Below are 16931 nucleotides of genomic sequence, written 5' to 3' on the forward strand. Positions count from 1 at the left end.
TGATGATCTCCAGCTCAATTTATGTTGTTGCAAAGGGCATAATCTCATTCTTTTTTATGGCTGTGTAGGATCCCATGGTATATATGTACCACTTTTCTTTATTCAGTCTACTGTTGATGGGCATTTAGGTTGATTCCATGTCTTCGTTGTGAACAGTGCTGCGGTAAACATATGTGTGCCTGTGTCACTATGGCAGAACAAATTGTATTCCTTTCGATATATATCCAACAATACGATTGCTGGGTTGAATGGTAATTCTGTTTTCAGTTCTTTGAGAAATTGCCACACTGCTTTCCACAATGACTGAACTAGTTTACACTTCCACCAGCAGTGTTTAAGTGTTCCCTTTACTCTGCAACTTCACCAACGTCTGTTATTTTTTGGCTTTTTAATAATGGCTATTCTGTCTGGTGTGAGATGATATCTCGCTGTGGTTTTGATTTGCATTTCTCTAATGATTAGTGATGTTGAGCATTTTTTCATATGCATGCTGGCTGCATACATGTCTTTTTGTGAAAAGAGTCTGTTCATCTTCTTTGCCCACTTTTTAATGGTATTGTTTGTTTTTTGCTTGTAAATTTGTTTAAGTTCCTTATGGATTCTGGATATGAAACCTTTTTTAGATGCATAGTTTGCAGATATTTTCTCTCATTCTGTAGGTTGTCTATTTACTCGGTTGATAGTTTCTTTTGCTGTGCAGAAGCTCTTTAGTTTGATTAGGTCCCATTTGTCAGTTTTTGGTTTCTTTGTAATTGCTTTTGATGTCTTTGTCATGAAATCTTTGCCAGGTCCTGTGTCCAGAATGGCATTGCCTAGATTTTCTTCCAGGGTTTTTATAGTTTCGGGTTTTACATTAAGTCTTTAATCAATCTTAAGTTAATTTTTGTATATGGTTTAAGGAAGGGGTCCAGTTTCAATTTTCTGCATATGGCTAGCTAGTTATCCCAGCACCATTTATTGAATAGAAAATCCTTTCCCCATTGCTCATTTTTGTTGGCCTTGTTGAAGATCACATGGTTGTAGGCAACCAGCATTATTTCTGGGCTCTCTATTCTGTTCCATTGGTCCATATATCTATTTTTGTACCAGTACCATGTTGTTTTGGTCACTGTAGCCTTTGAAGTCAGGTAACGTAGCCGGGCGCGGTGGCTCACGCCTGTAATTGAACACTTTGGGAAGCTGAGGCCGGCAGATCACCTGTGGTCAGGAGTTCCAGAACAGCCTGGCCAACATGGTGAAACTCTGTCTCCAGTAAAAATACAAAAATTAACTCGGCGTGGTGATGCATGCCTGTAACCCCAGCTACTCCAGAGGTTGAGGCAGGAGAATCGCTTGAACCCTGGAGGCGGAGGCTGCAGTGAAACGAGATCACTCCACTGTACTCCAGCCTGGGTGACAGAGTAAGATTCTGTCCCCACCCCCCAAACCCCCCATCCCAAAAAATAGGAAAAGGAAAAATGAAGTCAGGTAACGTGATGCCTCCTGCTTTGGTCTTTTTTTTTTTTTTTTTTTTTAAGGATTGACTTAAAGAGCTATTCAGGCTCTTTTTTGGTTCTATATGAATTTTAAAATAGTTTTTTCTACTTCTGTGAAGAATATCATGGTAGTTTGATAGGAATGGTATTGAATCTGTAAATTACTTTGGACAGTACGGCCATTTTAATGATATTGATTCTTCCTATTGATGAGCACAGCATGTTTTTCCATTTGCTTGTGTCACCTCTGATTTCTTTGAGCAGTGTTTTGGTATGCTGTGTTTTTGTTTTAATTCACCTGAAAATATGTTTTAGTTTCCCCTGTGATGTCCTCTTTGACTCATCAGTTATTTAGGAGTGTTTAATTTCCACTCTTTGTGAATTTTCTTCTATTAATGCTTTCTAATTTCATTCCATTGTTGGAGAATATACTTGGCATAATTTTTATATTTTTATATTTGTTGAGATTTGTTTTTCTGGACTAATGTATGGTCCATTCTGGAAAATAGTTCACTTGAGAAGAATGTGTATTCACCTGTTGTTGGGTGGAGTGTTCTACAGATGTCTGCTGGATTTCATTGGCTTATAGTGTTGCTCAAGTTTTCTATTTTCTTTTTGATTTTCTATCTAGTTTTTCTAGACATCATTGAAAATTGGTATTAAAGTCTTCAACTATTATTGTTAAACTCTATTATTTGGCCTTCAATTGTGTCAATTTTTTCTTTGTGTATTGTGGAGCTCTGCATTTAGGTGAATATATGTTTATAAGTGTTATACTTTATTAATGAATTGACCCTTTTATATTAATAATTATATAATGCCCTTTTTGTCTCTTTAACAATTTTTATATTGAAGTCTATTTTGTTTGATATGAGTATAGCCATTCCAGCTCTCCTTTGATAACTACTTGCATAGAATGTTTTTTCAACATTTTCCTTTCAACCTACTTATGTCTTTAAATCTAAAGTGAATTCTTGTAGACAGAATATAATTGAACCACGTTTTAAAAATAATCCATTCTGGCTGGGTGCTGTGGCTCACACCTGTAATCCCAGCACTTTGGGAGGCCGAGGCAGATGGATCACGAGGTCAGGAGTTCGAGACCAGCCTGACCAAAATGGTGAAACCCTGTCTCTACTAAAAATACAAAAATTTGCCAGGTCCGGTGGTGTGCACCTGTAATCCCAGACACCCAGCAGGCTGAGGCAGGAGAAAGACTTGAACCCAGGAGGCAGAAGTTGCAGTGAGCCAAGTCTGCACCACTGCACTCCAGCCTGGGCAACAGAGCGAGACTCCATCTCAAAAAAAAAAAAAAATCATTCTGCCAGCCTATGCCATTTAATTGGATAGTTTAATCCATTTGTACTTAATATAATTACTGATAAGGGAAGACTTCTGCCATTTTGCTATTGGTTTTCTATATCTTACATCTTTTTTTCTTCCTCATTTCCTTCATTATTTCTTTTTTTTGTTAAATAGGTATTTTCTTGTGTACCATTTTATTCCCTTGTCACTTCTTTTACAATGTTTTAAAATTTATTTTGTTAGTGGTTACCTTGGAAATTACAATTAACATTTTAATTTATAATAATTTATTCAGATTAATAACAACTTAATTTTCAATAGTATACCAAAACTTAGCTCTTATACGGCTCCATTTCCTCTCCTTTTATAATATTCTCACAAATTATGCCTTTATACATTGCATGCTCAACAACATATATTTATAATTACTGCTTTATGCAATTGTCTTTTAAATTATATAGGAGAAACAGGGGTTACAAACAAGAACTACATTAACACTGTCTCTCATATTATCTATGTAGTTACTTTTACTGGTGTTCTTTATTTCTTCATAATATTTAACTTACTGTTTAGTGTCATTTTATTTCAGCCTTAGGACTCTTTCAGAATTTCTTGTAGGACAGGTCTGCTAGTGACAAACTCAGTTTTTGTATATTAGAATGTTTTAATTTCTCTTTTATTAAAAAATAGAATTTACTTTTTAAGAAGTTTTAGGTTTACAGGCAAATTGAGTGGAAAATACAGAGATTTTTCTATTTACCCCCTCACTCCTTCACCCTTAGAATCCCCTATTATTAACATTTTGGATTACTGTGGTACATTTGTCACAATTGATGAGTAATATTGATACACATTATTATTAACTAAAGTCAGTAGTTCAGTTTACATTAGGGCTCATTCTTTGTGTTGCATATTCTATGGATTTTGACAAATATACAATACTTTATATTCACCATTACAGTATCATATATGATACTGTAATGGTGAATATAAAGATTCACCATTGTAATGGTGAATATAAAGATTCACATCCAGAATAGGTTTCACTGCCTTAAAATACCCTGCACTCTATTTATCCCTGTCTTTCTCCCCAAAGCCCTTACCACCACAGATTTTTTTACAGTTTATGCAGTTTTGCTGAATGTCATATAGTTGAAATCATACAGTCTGTAGCTGTTTCAGATTGATTTTTTTCACTTAATAATTGGTGCATTGCTTTTCTGAGACTATATTTCTATCTCCTGATTAAAGAACAGAGCTGGCTATATAATTTGTATTTAAGATTCCTCCATCTCTTTTCATGGCTCGACAGCTTATTCCATTTTATTGTTAAATAACATTCCACTGTATGGATATGCTGCAGTTTATTCACCTATTGAAGGACATCTTTGTTGCTTCCAACTTTTGGCAATTACAAATAAAGCTGCTATACATGTTTGTGAAGCACTTTCTGTGTAGACATTTTTCAATTCATTTGGGTAAATACCAAAAAATGTGACTACTGAATCATATGGTAAGAGTATGTTTAGTTTTGTATAAAACTGCCAATCTGTCTTTCAAAGTAACTGTACCATTTTGCATTCTCATGAGCAATAAATGAGACTTTCTGTTGTTCATTGCAACACATCCTTTCCAGCGTTTGTTTTTTTCACCAGTTTCACTGAGGTATAATTGACAAGTAAAATTGTATAAATTTAAGGAGTACAACATTGTGATTTGATATACATATATTATGAAATGTTTATCATAATTAAGTTAATCTTTTACCTCACCTAGTTATCTTTTTTCCAGAGGTTGTAGAACATTTCTGTGTAGTAGGACATTTAAGATCTATTCTCTTAGCAAATTTTTATTATAGGAAAAAATATTGTTAACTATAATCACTATGCTATTTTAAACTGATAACAACTTAACTGTGATTGCATACAAAAATTTATACTTTTACTTCTCCCCCTCACATTTTAGCTTACTGATGTTACAATTTATATCTTTTTACATTGTGTATCCAATAACAAATTATTGTAGTTACAGTTATTTTTAATATGTTTGTTTTTTAACTTTTATACCAGAAGTAAAAGTGATTTATGCATCATTATTACAATACTAGGGAATTCTGACATTGATTATATATTTACTTTTATAGTGAGTTTTATACATTCATATGTTTTTATGTTGTTAATTACTGTTCTTTTATTTCAGCTTGAAAAATTTTCTTTAGTGTTTCTTATACGGCAGTTCTGGTGGTGATAAACTCTTTCAGTTTTTATTTGTTTGGGAAATTCTTTATATCTTTTATTTCTGAAGAATAGCTTTTCCAGGTATAGTATTCTTGGTTCACAGTATTTTTTCTTTCACTATTTTGAATATATCATCCAACTTCCTCCTGGCCTAGAAGGTTTCTGTTAAGAAAATCTACTGGTAGTCTTAAGGGGTCTCACATGTATGTAATGAGTTGCTTCTCTCTTGCTGCTTTTAAGTTTCTCTTTGTCTTTGACTTTTGACAACTTAATTATAATGTGTCTTGGCGTACGCTTTTTGAGCTCAACCTATTTGGAGACTTTTGGGCCTCATGAGTGTGGATGTTCATTTTTCTTCTCAAATTTTAGAAGTTTTCAGCCATTTTTTTGGTCCAATTAACACTTTGTAAATTTTTTATTTTTTTAATTAAGTTCTGGGGTACTTGTGTAGGATATAGAAGTTTGTTACATAGATAAACATGTGCCATGGTGGTTTGCTGCACCTTTCAACCCATCACCTAGGTATTAAGCCCAGCATGCATCAGCTCTTTTCCCTAATGCTCTCCCACCCCTGCCCTCCCCCAACGGGCCCCAGTAAATGTTCTTCCCCTCCCTGTGTCCATGTATTCTCATTGTTCAGCTCCCACTTATAAGTGAGAACATGCAGTGTTTGGTTTTGTGTTCCTGCATTAGTTTGCTGAGGATAATGGCTTCCAACTTCATCGATGTCCCTGCAAAGGACATGATCTCATTCTTTTTTATGGCTGGATAGTATTCCATGGTGTATATGTACCACATTTTCTTTATCCAGCTATCACTGATGGGCATGTGGGTTGATTCCATGTCTTAGCTATTATGAATAGTGCTGCAATGAACATACATGTGCATGTATCTTTATAATAGAATTATTTATATTCCTTTTGGTATATACCCAGTAATGGGGTTGCTGGGTCAAATGGTATTTCTGGTTCCAAATCTTTGAGGAATCATCACACTGTCTTTCACAATGGTTGAACTAATTTGCAGTCCCACCAACAGTGTAAAAGTGCTCCTATTTCTCCACAACCTCACAGCATCTGTTGTTTCCTGACTTTTTAATAATCATCATTCTGACTGGTGTGAGATGGTATCTCACTGTGGTTTTGATTTGCATTTCTCTAATGATCAGTGATGTTGAGTTATTTTTCTTTCTTTTCTTAAACAGTTTAATTTCTGGGATACATGTGCAGAATGTGTAGGTTTGTTACATAGGTTTTCATGTGCCATGGTGGTTTGCTGCACCTTTCAACCTGTCATCTAGGTTTTAAGCCCCACATGCATTAGGTATTTGTCCCAATGCTCTCCCTCCCCTTGTCCCCCAGCCCCTGATAGGCCCCAGTGTGTGTCGTTCCTCTCCCTGTGTCCAAGTGTTCTCATTGTTCAACTCCCACTTATAAGAACATGTGGTGTTCGGTTTTCTGTTCCTGTGTTAGTTTGCTGAGGATGAGGGCTTCCAGCTTCATCCATGTCCCTGCAAAGGACATGATCTCATTCCTTTTTATGGCTGCATAGTATTCCATGGTGTATATGCACCACATTTTCTTTATTCAGTCTATCACTGGTGGACATTTGGGTTGGCTCCATGTCTTTGCTATTAACTAGTGCTGCAGTAAGCACACGTGTGCATGTGTATTTATAGTAGAATGATTTATATCACTTTGGGTATGTATCCAGTGATGAGACAGCTGGGTCAAATGGTATTTCTGGTTCTAGATTCTTTTTTTTTTTTTTGAGACGGAGTCTCACTCTGTTGCCCAGGCTAGAGTGCAGTGGCGCGATCTCGGCTCACTGCAAGCTCTGCCTCCTGGGTTCATGCCATTCTCCTGCCTCAGCCTCCCAAGTAGCTGGGACCACAGGCGCCCAACACCACGCCTGGCTAATTTTTTTTGTATTTTTAGTAGGGATGGGGTTTCACTGTGTTAGTCAGGATGGTCTCAATCTCCTGAACTTGTGATCCACCTGCATTGGCCTCCCAAAGTGCTGGGATTACAGGCATGAGCCACCGTGTCTGGCCTGTAGATTCTTGAGGAATCACCACACTGTCTTCCACAATGGTTGAACTAATTTACATTCCCACCAACAGCATAAAAGTGTTCCTATTTCTCCACAGCCTTGCCAGCATCTATTGTTTCTTGACTTTTTAATAATTACCATTCTGACTGACATGAGATGGTATCTCACTGTGCTTTTCATTTGCATTTCTCTGATGATCAGTGATGTTGAGCTGTTTTCATATGTTTGTTGACTGCATAAATGTCTTCTTTTGAGAAGTATCTGTTCATATTCTTTGCCCACTTTTTAATTGGGTTGTTTGTTTTTTTCTTGTAAATTTGATTAAGCTCCTCATAGATTCTGGATAGTAAACCTTTTTCAGATGGATAGATTGCACACATTTTTTTCCCACTCCGTAGGTTGTCTGTTCACTGTGATGATAGTTTCACTTGCTATGCAGAAGCTCTTTAGTTTAATTAGATCCCATTTGTCAATTTTTGCTTTTGTTGCAATTGCTTTTGGTGATTTCATCATAAAATCTTTGCCCATGCCTATGTCCTGAATAGTATTGCTCAAATTTTCTTCTAGGATTTTTATAGTTTTGGGTTTTAAATTTAAGTCTTTAATCCATCTTGAGTTAATTTTTGTATAATGTGTAAGGAAGGGATCCAGTTTCAATTTTCTGGATATGGTTTTGGCCTTATTTATTTATTTATTTATTTATTTTTGAGACAGAGTCTCACTCTGTCACCCAGGCTGGAGTGCAATTGCATAATCTCGGCTCACTGCAACCTCTGCCTTTCAGATTCAAGCGGTTCTCCTGCCTCAGCCTCCCAAGTAGCTGGGACTACAGGTGAGCACCACCATGCCTGGCTAATTTTTGTATTTTTAGTAGAAATGGGGTTTCACCAGGCTGGTCTTGAACACCTGACCTCAAGTGATCCTCCTGCCTTGGCCTCCCAAAGTGCTGGGATTACAGGTGTGAGCCACTGCAACTGGCCAGTCATTATTTTTAAAAACACATTCTGTCCTTTTCTCTCTCCATCTTCTCCTGGAATTTCTATAATGCAAATTTGTTTCTCTTGGTTGTGTCCCATAAATCTTGTAGGCTTTCTTCACTGCTTTTTGTTTTTTTTCCTTTTGCCCTCTGATCAGATCATTTCAAATGACCTATCTTCTTGTCTTCTGATTCTTTATTGTGCTTGATTGAGTCTGCTGTTGAAGTTCTCTATTGACCTTTTCAGTTCAGTCATTGCATTCCTAATCTGCGGGATTTCTATTTGGGATTTAAAAAAATTTATGTTGTCTTTTGTTTCTTTGTTGAACTACTCATTTTGTTCATGTGTTGTTTTTCTGAATATTGTTTAGCTATCTATTTATGTTTTCCTGTAGTTCATCAAACTTTCCTAAGAGGATTATTCTGAATTATTTGTTAGACTGTCTATAGATCTCCATCCCTTTCAGGTATTGGAGCTTTATTAGTTTCCTTTGATGGTGTCATATTCCCTGACTCTTTCCAATTTTCATATTCTTGTGTTTGTTTCTGTGCATTTGTGGAAGTGCTTGCCTTGTCTGGCCTTTACAAATTCACTTTGGTAGGGATATACCTTAACCATTTGGTCCAACCTGGGGTCTGGACAGACCAGTTGGTAGTGTCACTGGGCAGGTGGGGCTTGCTGTTAATTCTCTAGCTGGGCAGGACCACTGTCTGTACTCTGAGCTTGGGTGGCTGCTGGATGGACTCTGAAGTCAGGTGGGTCTGCTAGCAGGGCTTGTAGTCAGGCAAGGCTGCTGGCTGGGCTCTGAGTTCAGGCAGGTTGCTGGCTGGGCTTCTTGGTTGTGTGGTGCCACTAACTGGGCTTCACAATTGCCGCTGGTTGTGGGGTTGCAGGCTGTGGTCCCTGGCAAGGTGATGCCAATGGTTGGACCCCACAATTAGGTGGAGTGTCTCAGCCTCACCCCTAGGCTCCGGGATTGTCACAAAGGTGTTCCTGTCTGTGAGTAGTTGCTAGTTGGACTTCGTGTGATGGGAAATAAAGCTGAAAACTTCCTATTCTGACATCTTACTGATGTCACTAACACCTTCAGTGTTTTTACTTTTAGCCATTCTAATAGATATGCAGTAGTATAGTATCTCATTGTTTTAATTGCTTTTTTTTTTTTTTTTTTTTGAGACAGAGTCTCACTCTGTCGCCCAGGCTGGAGTGCAATGGGGTGATCTCGGCTCACTGCAACCTCCGCCTCCTGGGTTCAAGAGATTCCCCTGCCACAGCCTCCTGAGTAGCTGGGATTACAGGTGCATGCCACCATGCCCGGCTAATTTTTGTATTTTTAGTAGAGACGGGGTTTCACCATGTTGGTCAGGCAGGTCTCAAACTCCTGACTTTGTGATCCGCCCGCCTCAGGCTCCCAAAGTGCTGGGATTACAGGCGTGAGCCACTGCGACTGGCCTTAATTGCTTTTTAAAAACTTCCTTAATGACATATAATGTTGGACATATTTTCATATGCTTATTTGCTATCTGTGTATCTTCTTCAGTGAAGTGTCTGTTCAGATCTGTGGCCTAATTTTCAGTTGGGTTGTTTATTGTCTCATTATTGAGTTTAAGAGGCCTTTGTATACTTTGGATACCAGTCCTTTAACAGATATATGTTTTGCAAATGTTTTTTCTAGTCTGTGATTTTTTTTATTGTCATGATCTTTTGCAAAGCTTATATTTTTGATTTTACTGAAGTCCAACTTATCAATGTTCTCTTTCATGGATTGTGTCTTTGGTGTGGCATCTAAACACTAAATCCAAGGACACTTAGGTTTTCTTCTATATTACCTTCTAGGAATTTTATAATTTAGCATTTTACAATTAGGCCTATGATCCATTTTGAGTTAATTTTTGTAAAAAGTGTAAGGCCTATGTCTGGATCCTTATTTTTCCTGTGAATGTCCTATTGTTTCAACCTAATTTGTTGAAAACACTATCCTTTCTTCACTGAAATGTTTTTGCTCCTTTGTTAAAGATCAGATGACTGTATTTACGTGGGTCTGTTTCTGGGATCTGGATTCTGTTCCACTGATCTATTTATTTCTTCTTCTGCCAATACCATATTGTTTTTATTACTTTAGCTTTATAGTAAGTCTTGAAATTAGTTTGTGTCCTTCAGCTTTGCTGTTTTATAATATTGTCTTGGCTATTCTGGGTCTCTTGCCCCTCCATATAAACTTTAGAGTCTTATTGTTATTATCCACACAATAGCTTGCTGAGATTGTAATTGGGATTATGTTGAATCTATAGATCAGTTGGGAAGAACTGACATTTTGACAATATTAAATCTTTCTATTTATGTACATGAAATATCTCTCCATTTATTTAGGTATTCTTTGACTTTCATCATAGTTTTGTAGTTTTTGTGCAATTCATATAGGTCTTGTACATATTTTGTTAGGTTTTGTTTTGAAAGCCCCTAGCTAAATTGGTGTTCCAGTACCACAGTGGCTAGTAACTCTACCCTAACAAGAAATGAAGGGTAGTAGATGGGGGTGTTTATAGTGTGCCTTTCATGCGATACTTATTTTACCTGGTAGACAGCCTAATGCCTCATTTTCTGACCTATGAACAGTGTCCCTCACACAGGAAACTTGTTTACCTTAGCAGATGACCTTGTGGTTCTTGTTTGACCTTGTCCAATTTATGCCTACCTGACTATTGCTTTGGTGCTGCGAGCCCAACCTTGTGTTCTCCTCAGTTTCCCATGGAAAACCCAGCCTGGGGTAGCCCTTGGTTCTTCAGATGGAAGGCACAAATTCAGATTGAAGGCTCATCTGCTTAAAGGAAGCAGCAGAAAAAACAGAGAGCCCAGGCTGCTAGGCAGGAGAGATACCTATAAGTTTTTATCTCTGGCCACTGGCTTGAGCAATTTGAGTGTGGTGTTCTATTTCTAATGCCTAAACATGGCAACCTTTGCTGTGCCATTTCCATTACAGATTTATACCCAAGGACTTCACTTTTTGATGATAATAAAAACAATATTGTGTTTTTAATATTCAATTTCAGTGTTCATTGTTGCTATGTAAGAAAGCAATTAACTTTTAAAAAAAATTATTACCTTGCATTCTGCAACTTGCCTGTAGGTTAATTCTCCTGTGGATCCTTGGCTGAGGAAAGCTGTGATGAGAAAGCCCTGGGAACTGAATTAGGTCTTCTGAGACTTCTGAGCCAGTCATTCATTCAACAGAAAATTATTTACCACTTCTCTATGACAAGGTACTGTGGGAGGCTATGGATGAAGGATTCCTACCCTGGAGAGGTGAATAGCACCATAGGCATTGCTAACGTCAAGTTTGCGCACGCTATCAGAGGGGAAGAGAAAGAATTTCCAGGTATGAGGGAAGACTCTTCTTCCTCTTAGATGTCTCACTAAGAGGAGAGCATAGTGGCCCCAGAAAATTAAGCTGACTGGGTGCCACTAGGAAGATATTTTCCTAGTCTGTATTTTCCAGGGCAGAACATTAAAAATTGTTTTCCTCCAATATATATTTTTATGGAAGACAAAGATCAGAATTATAATGACCAGAAGAGATGGTGAATTAGAATGAATCTCATCTTCAGTGCTATTGATTTTGTTCAGGAAGCTAACCTCCAGATAAGGGTCACAGTATGCCTTGGTAAGACATTGGAAATATCAATTCATTTAATGAGACACACAAGTTAGGAATAATTATGAAAATATATTTGCATAATGTGAAATAATCTTAAGTGCATGTGAAAATACATTCAAAATGCCACAAAGTATTAACTGAACATATTGTCTGTGTAGGTTTTTTTCTACTAGTCATTTGTTCTTTATTCATTTTGTTTTCTACCAGTTCTCAGTGGATAATTGGTACCAAGCTTCTAAATTTAAGAAAAATTTAGGAGAGAAAAACTTAAAATAAAGAAAATTTTATCCATATTGTATATGTATGAGTACTTGGTAAGAAATTGGCATAATTTAATTTTAGCAGCAGGACACCTTGTTCAGGATAGAGAGAAAGGGCTTTATTTGAAAACTACTAATCTGAAAATCATGGAGGAGGATCATGTAGGAAATTCTCCTGAAATGGCAGAAACCCTCTCTTTATCTCTTGCCTGCAAGTCATTCTTTATTCCATCCTATGGGGAACTTCATTCTGAACCCTCATTGCCTCACTCTGTAATGGAAAAGCAGAGGGGGAAAACCCAGTCAACTAAACGTTCAAGATCTGGTCTCAGCTGCATCATTACCTGGTTACTCTGGGCAAGTAAAAGATTGTTTTTGCTTCATTTTTCTCATCCACATAAAAGAAATAATACCTCCTTGCTGACATCACATTAATTTTTTCCATGAAAATAAAATGAACCAATGAATAAAGATGAATTAATTTGGCTGCTTGAGGATTACGTGTTCATTGTTCTATCTTTTCCTGGGTCATAAGATGATGAGTTCCTGATGGTAGACAGCCTCCATGGTGGTTCCCAACCTCCCAAGATTCCCACCTCCAAAGATTCATGCCCCTGTGGGTTACTTTCTGGATTGTTCTGTGTGACCAATAGAATATGGCAGGAGTGATGACATATCACTTTTTATTCTAGGCTATAAAAGACTCTGCTGCTTCTGTCTTGTTTTTTTTTTTCTCTCTCTCTTTCTGATCACTTGCTCTGGGAGAAGCCAGCTGCCATTTCATTAAAAGTCTATCATGTTAGTCTACTTGCATTGCTATAAAGAAAACCAGAGGCTGGGTAATTTATAAAGAAAAGATGTTTATGTAGCTCATGGTTCTGCAGGCTGTACAGGAAGCATGGTGCCAGCATCTACTTTTGGTGAGGGCCTCAGGGAGCTTCTGATTATAGCAGAAAGTGAAGGCGGGGGGCAACGTGTCACATGATGAGAGATGGAGCAAGAGACAAAAAGGGTGCCACACTCTTTTAAACAACCAGATCTTGTGTGAAATCAGAGTGAGAACTCACTCATTACTGTGAGGAGGACACTAAGCCATTCATGAGGGATCCAACCCCAAGATTCAAACCCTCCCACTAGGCCCACCTTCAACACTGGGGATCACATTTCAACATGGGAGGATTTGGAGGGGACAAACCATATCATTCTGCCCCCAGCCCTCCAAATCTCATGTTCTCTCACATGGCAGAAAACAATAATCCCTTCTCAATAGTCCCCCAAAGTCTTAACTTATTCCAGCATTAACTCAACAGTCTCAAGTTCAAAGTCCTAAGTCTCATCAGGGACTCAAGGCAAGTTTTTTTCTACCTATGAGCCTGTAAAATTATAAAAACAAGTTATTTACTTACAAGATACAATGATGGAACAGGTATTGGGTGAAGATTTCCATTCCAAAAGGAAAAAAATTGGCCAAAAGAAAGGGGCAACATGACCCACACAAGTCTGAAACCCAGCAGGAGAGACATTAAACCTTAAAGCTCCAACATAATCTTCCTTGACACCACGTCCAACATGCTGGGCACAGTGGTGCAAGGTGTGGGTTCCCAAGGCCCTAGTAGTTCTGCCACTGTGATTTTGCAGGGTGCAACCCCTCTGGCTGCTCTCATGGGTTGGAGTTGAATGCCTGGAGCTTTTCTAGGCTCTGGGTGTAAGCTGCTGATGGCTGTACCATTTTCCGGTCTGGAGGGCAGTGGCTGCTTTCTCACAGCTCCACTAACCAGTGTCCTGGTGGTGGAGACTCTGTGTGGGGGCTCCAACCCCATATTTCCCTTCAGCACTTCTTCAGTAGAGTCTCTCTGTGGGGTATCCACCCCTGTTGCAGGCATCTGCCTGGGCACTCAGGCTTTCCAATACATCCTCTGAAATCTAGGAGGAAGCTTCCAAGCCTCCTTCACTTCTGCATTCTGCACATCTGCAGGCTTAACACCATGTGGAAGCCACCAAGGTTTATGGCTTGTGCCATTTGGAGTTGTGGCCTGAACTGTATCTGTGGTCCTTTTCACTGAGGCTGTTGATGGAACTACCAGGATTCTGGGAGCAGGGCAACGGAGCCCTGGGCCTGGCCCCGGAAACTATTCTTTCCTCCTGGGCCTCTAGGTCTGTGATGGGAGGGTCTGCCTCAGAGATTCTGAAATGCCTTCAAGCACTTTTTTCTGTTGTCTTGACTATTAGCACTTGGTTCTCTTGCAGCTACGTTAGTCTCTCTAAAAAGTGGTTGTTCCTTAGCCTGCTTGGATTCTTCCCCTGAAAATGCTCTTTTCTTCTCTACCACATAGCCAGGCTGCAGATTTTCCAAATTTTTACACTATGCTTCCCTTATAATGACAAGTTCCAACTTCAGTTTTTCCTCTGCTTCCATATCTTATCTTAGATTGTTAGAAGAAGCTAGGGCAAATCTTGAATGCTTTGCTGCTTAGAAATTTCTTCTGCCAGATATGCTAAGTCATCACTCTTAAGTTCAACCTTTCATAAAACTGTAGGACATGGACACAATGAAGCAAAGCTCTTTGCTAGGGTACAATAAGGGTGACCTTTGCTCTAGCTCCCAGTAACTTCTTCATTTTTGTCTGGGACCTTATCAGCTTGGCCTTCACTATCTATATTTCTTTTTTTTTTTTAATTTTGTTTGTTCTTATAGTTTCTTGTTGGAAAAACACTGTCTATATTTCTATCAGTACCTTGATCACAACCAGTTAACCAGTCTCTAAGAAGTTCCAAACTTTCTCTTGTCTTCCTGTCTTCTTCTGAGCCCTCCAAACTCTTCTAGTGTCTGTCTGTTACCCAGCTTCAAAGCTGCTTCCACATCTTCAAGTATCTTTATAGCAACATCCCACTCCTCGGTAACAATTTTCTGTGTTAGTCCACTTGTGTTGCTATAAAGAAATACCAGAAGCTGGGTAATTTATAAAGAAAAGAGGTTTATTTTGGCTCATGATTCTGCAGGATGTACAGGAAACATGGTGTTGGCATCTGCTTCTGGTGAGGGCCTCAGCAAGCTTCTAATGATGGTGGAATGTGAAGAGGGAGCAGCGTGTCACATGTTGAGAGAGGGAGCAAGAGAAAGGGAGGAGAGAGCTGCCTGGCTCTTTGAAGTGACCACATCTTATGTGAAATTGAGTGAGAACTTACTCATTACTGCAAGGAGGGCACTAAGCCATTCATGAGGGATCCACCTCCATGACCCAAACACCTTTCACCAGGTCCACCTCCAACATCGGGGATCACATTTCAACATGAGATTTGGAGGGCATGCACACGCCAACCATATTACCTATGGGGGAGTCAACATAATGAGAAACTGAGGCCTCTTACCAATGGCATGTGAATGACTTGAAGTGGCTGTTTCTTGGAAGCAGATCTTCCAGCCCTAGTCAAGCCTTCAGATAACTGCAGTCCTGGCCAACAACTTGACTGAAACCTCATAAGACAGCCTGAGTCAGAAAGACCCAAATAAACCACTCCAAGATTTTTGACTGTCAGGAACTTTGTGAGTTAATAGATAATTGTTTCTTTTAGTTGCTAAGTTTTGGAGGTAATTTGTTATGCAGCAATAGGTAACTAACGAATACCCCAAGTACAAAAATATATGTATTTGCCCATGGAATCCAACCCAGTGCTGGTCACATGGAGGGCATGGAATTCAACAAATACTTGAAAAACAAACTGAAATTAAAGGGAAGAATGACAGGGAAGCGGAATGTATGCAGGCACACTTGCCATTTATCCCCAGCTAGGAGGCTGGCTGTTTGTCTTACACAGATGGCCAGAATGATGCCATGAAGGTCTTTTCTCCAACTTCCTTGGCCTGATAACAAATGTGCTTCCAGGTGTGACAGCCTGAGCCATTGTTTCAAATGAGCCCAGCCTTCTTCCCCTCTCTTTTGAAAAAAGCTCTCACTTTATTGAGGTATAATTGTAGCACAAAAACTGTATTTAATTAATGTATACAATCTGATGAATTTGGAGATAAATATATGCCCATGAAACCATCCCACAATCGGATCCGGTCTCTCCCTCTCCCTCTCCCTCTCCCTCTCCCTCTGTCTCCCTCTCCCCACGGTCTCCCTCTCATGCGGAGCCGAAGCTGGACTGTACTGCTGCCATTTCGGCTCACTGCAACCTCCCTGCCTGATTCTCCTGCCTCAGCCTGCCGAGTGCCTGCCATTGCAGGCACGCGCCGCCACGCCTGACTGGTTTTGGTGGAGACGGGGTTTCGCTGTGTTGGCCGGGCCGGTCTCCAGCCCCTAACCGTGAGTGATCCCGCCAACCTCAGCCTCCCGAGGTGCCGGGATTGCAGACGGAGTCTCGTTCACTCAGTGCTCAATGGTGCCCAGGCTGGAGTGCAGTGGCGTGATCTCGGCTCACTACAACCTACACCTCCCAGCCGCCTGCCTTGGCCTCCCAAAGTGCCGAGATTGCAGCCTCTGCCCGGCCGCCACCCCGTCTGGGAAGTGAGGAGTGTCTCTGCCTGGCCGCCCATCGTCTGGGATGTGAGGAGCCCCTCTGCCTGGCTGCCCAGTCTGGAAAGTGAGGAGCGTCTCCGCCCGGCCGCCATCCCATCTAGGAAGTGAGGAGCGCCTCTTCCCAGCCGCCATCACATCTAGGAAGTGAGGAGCGTCTCTGCCTGGCCGCCCATCGTCTGAGATGTGGGGAGCGCCTCTGCCCCGCCGCCCCATCTGGGATGTGAGGAGCGCCTCTGCCTGGCCGAGACCCCGTCTGGGAGGTGAGGAGCGTCTCTGCCTGGCCGCCCCGTCTGAGAAGTGAGGAGACCCTCTGCCTGGCAACCACCCCGTCTGAGAAGTGAGGAGCCTCTCCGCCCGGCAGCCACCCCATCTGGGAAGTGAGGAGCATCTCCGCCCGGCAGCCACCCCGTCCGGGAGGGAGGTGGGGGGGGGGTCAACCCCCCGCCCGGC

General features: G+C 40.1%; 1 annotated feature.

The window, feature by feature from the left end:
- Positions 15789 to 16441: an enhancer, noted in NCBI's record as "H3K27ac-H3K4me1 hESC enhancer chr9:91240150-91240802 (GRCh37/hg19 assembly coordinates)". NCBI's record gives its function as "activates a minimal SCP1, AML or CMV promoter by ChIP-STARR-seq in naive H9 embryonic stem cells {active_cell/tissue: H9 hESC(naive)}" and the evidence as "EXISTENCE:reporter gene assay evidence [ECO:0000049][PMID:30033119]".

The sequence above is a fragment of the Homo sapiens genome, chromosome 9, assembly GCF_000001405.40.
Source record: "Homo sapiens chromosome 9, GRCh38.p14 Primary Assembly".
In the NCBI taxonomy this organism is placed as follows: Eukaryota; Metazoa; Chordata; class Mammalia; order Primates; family Hominidae; genus Homo; species Homo sapiens.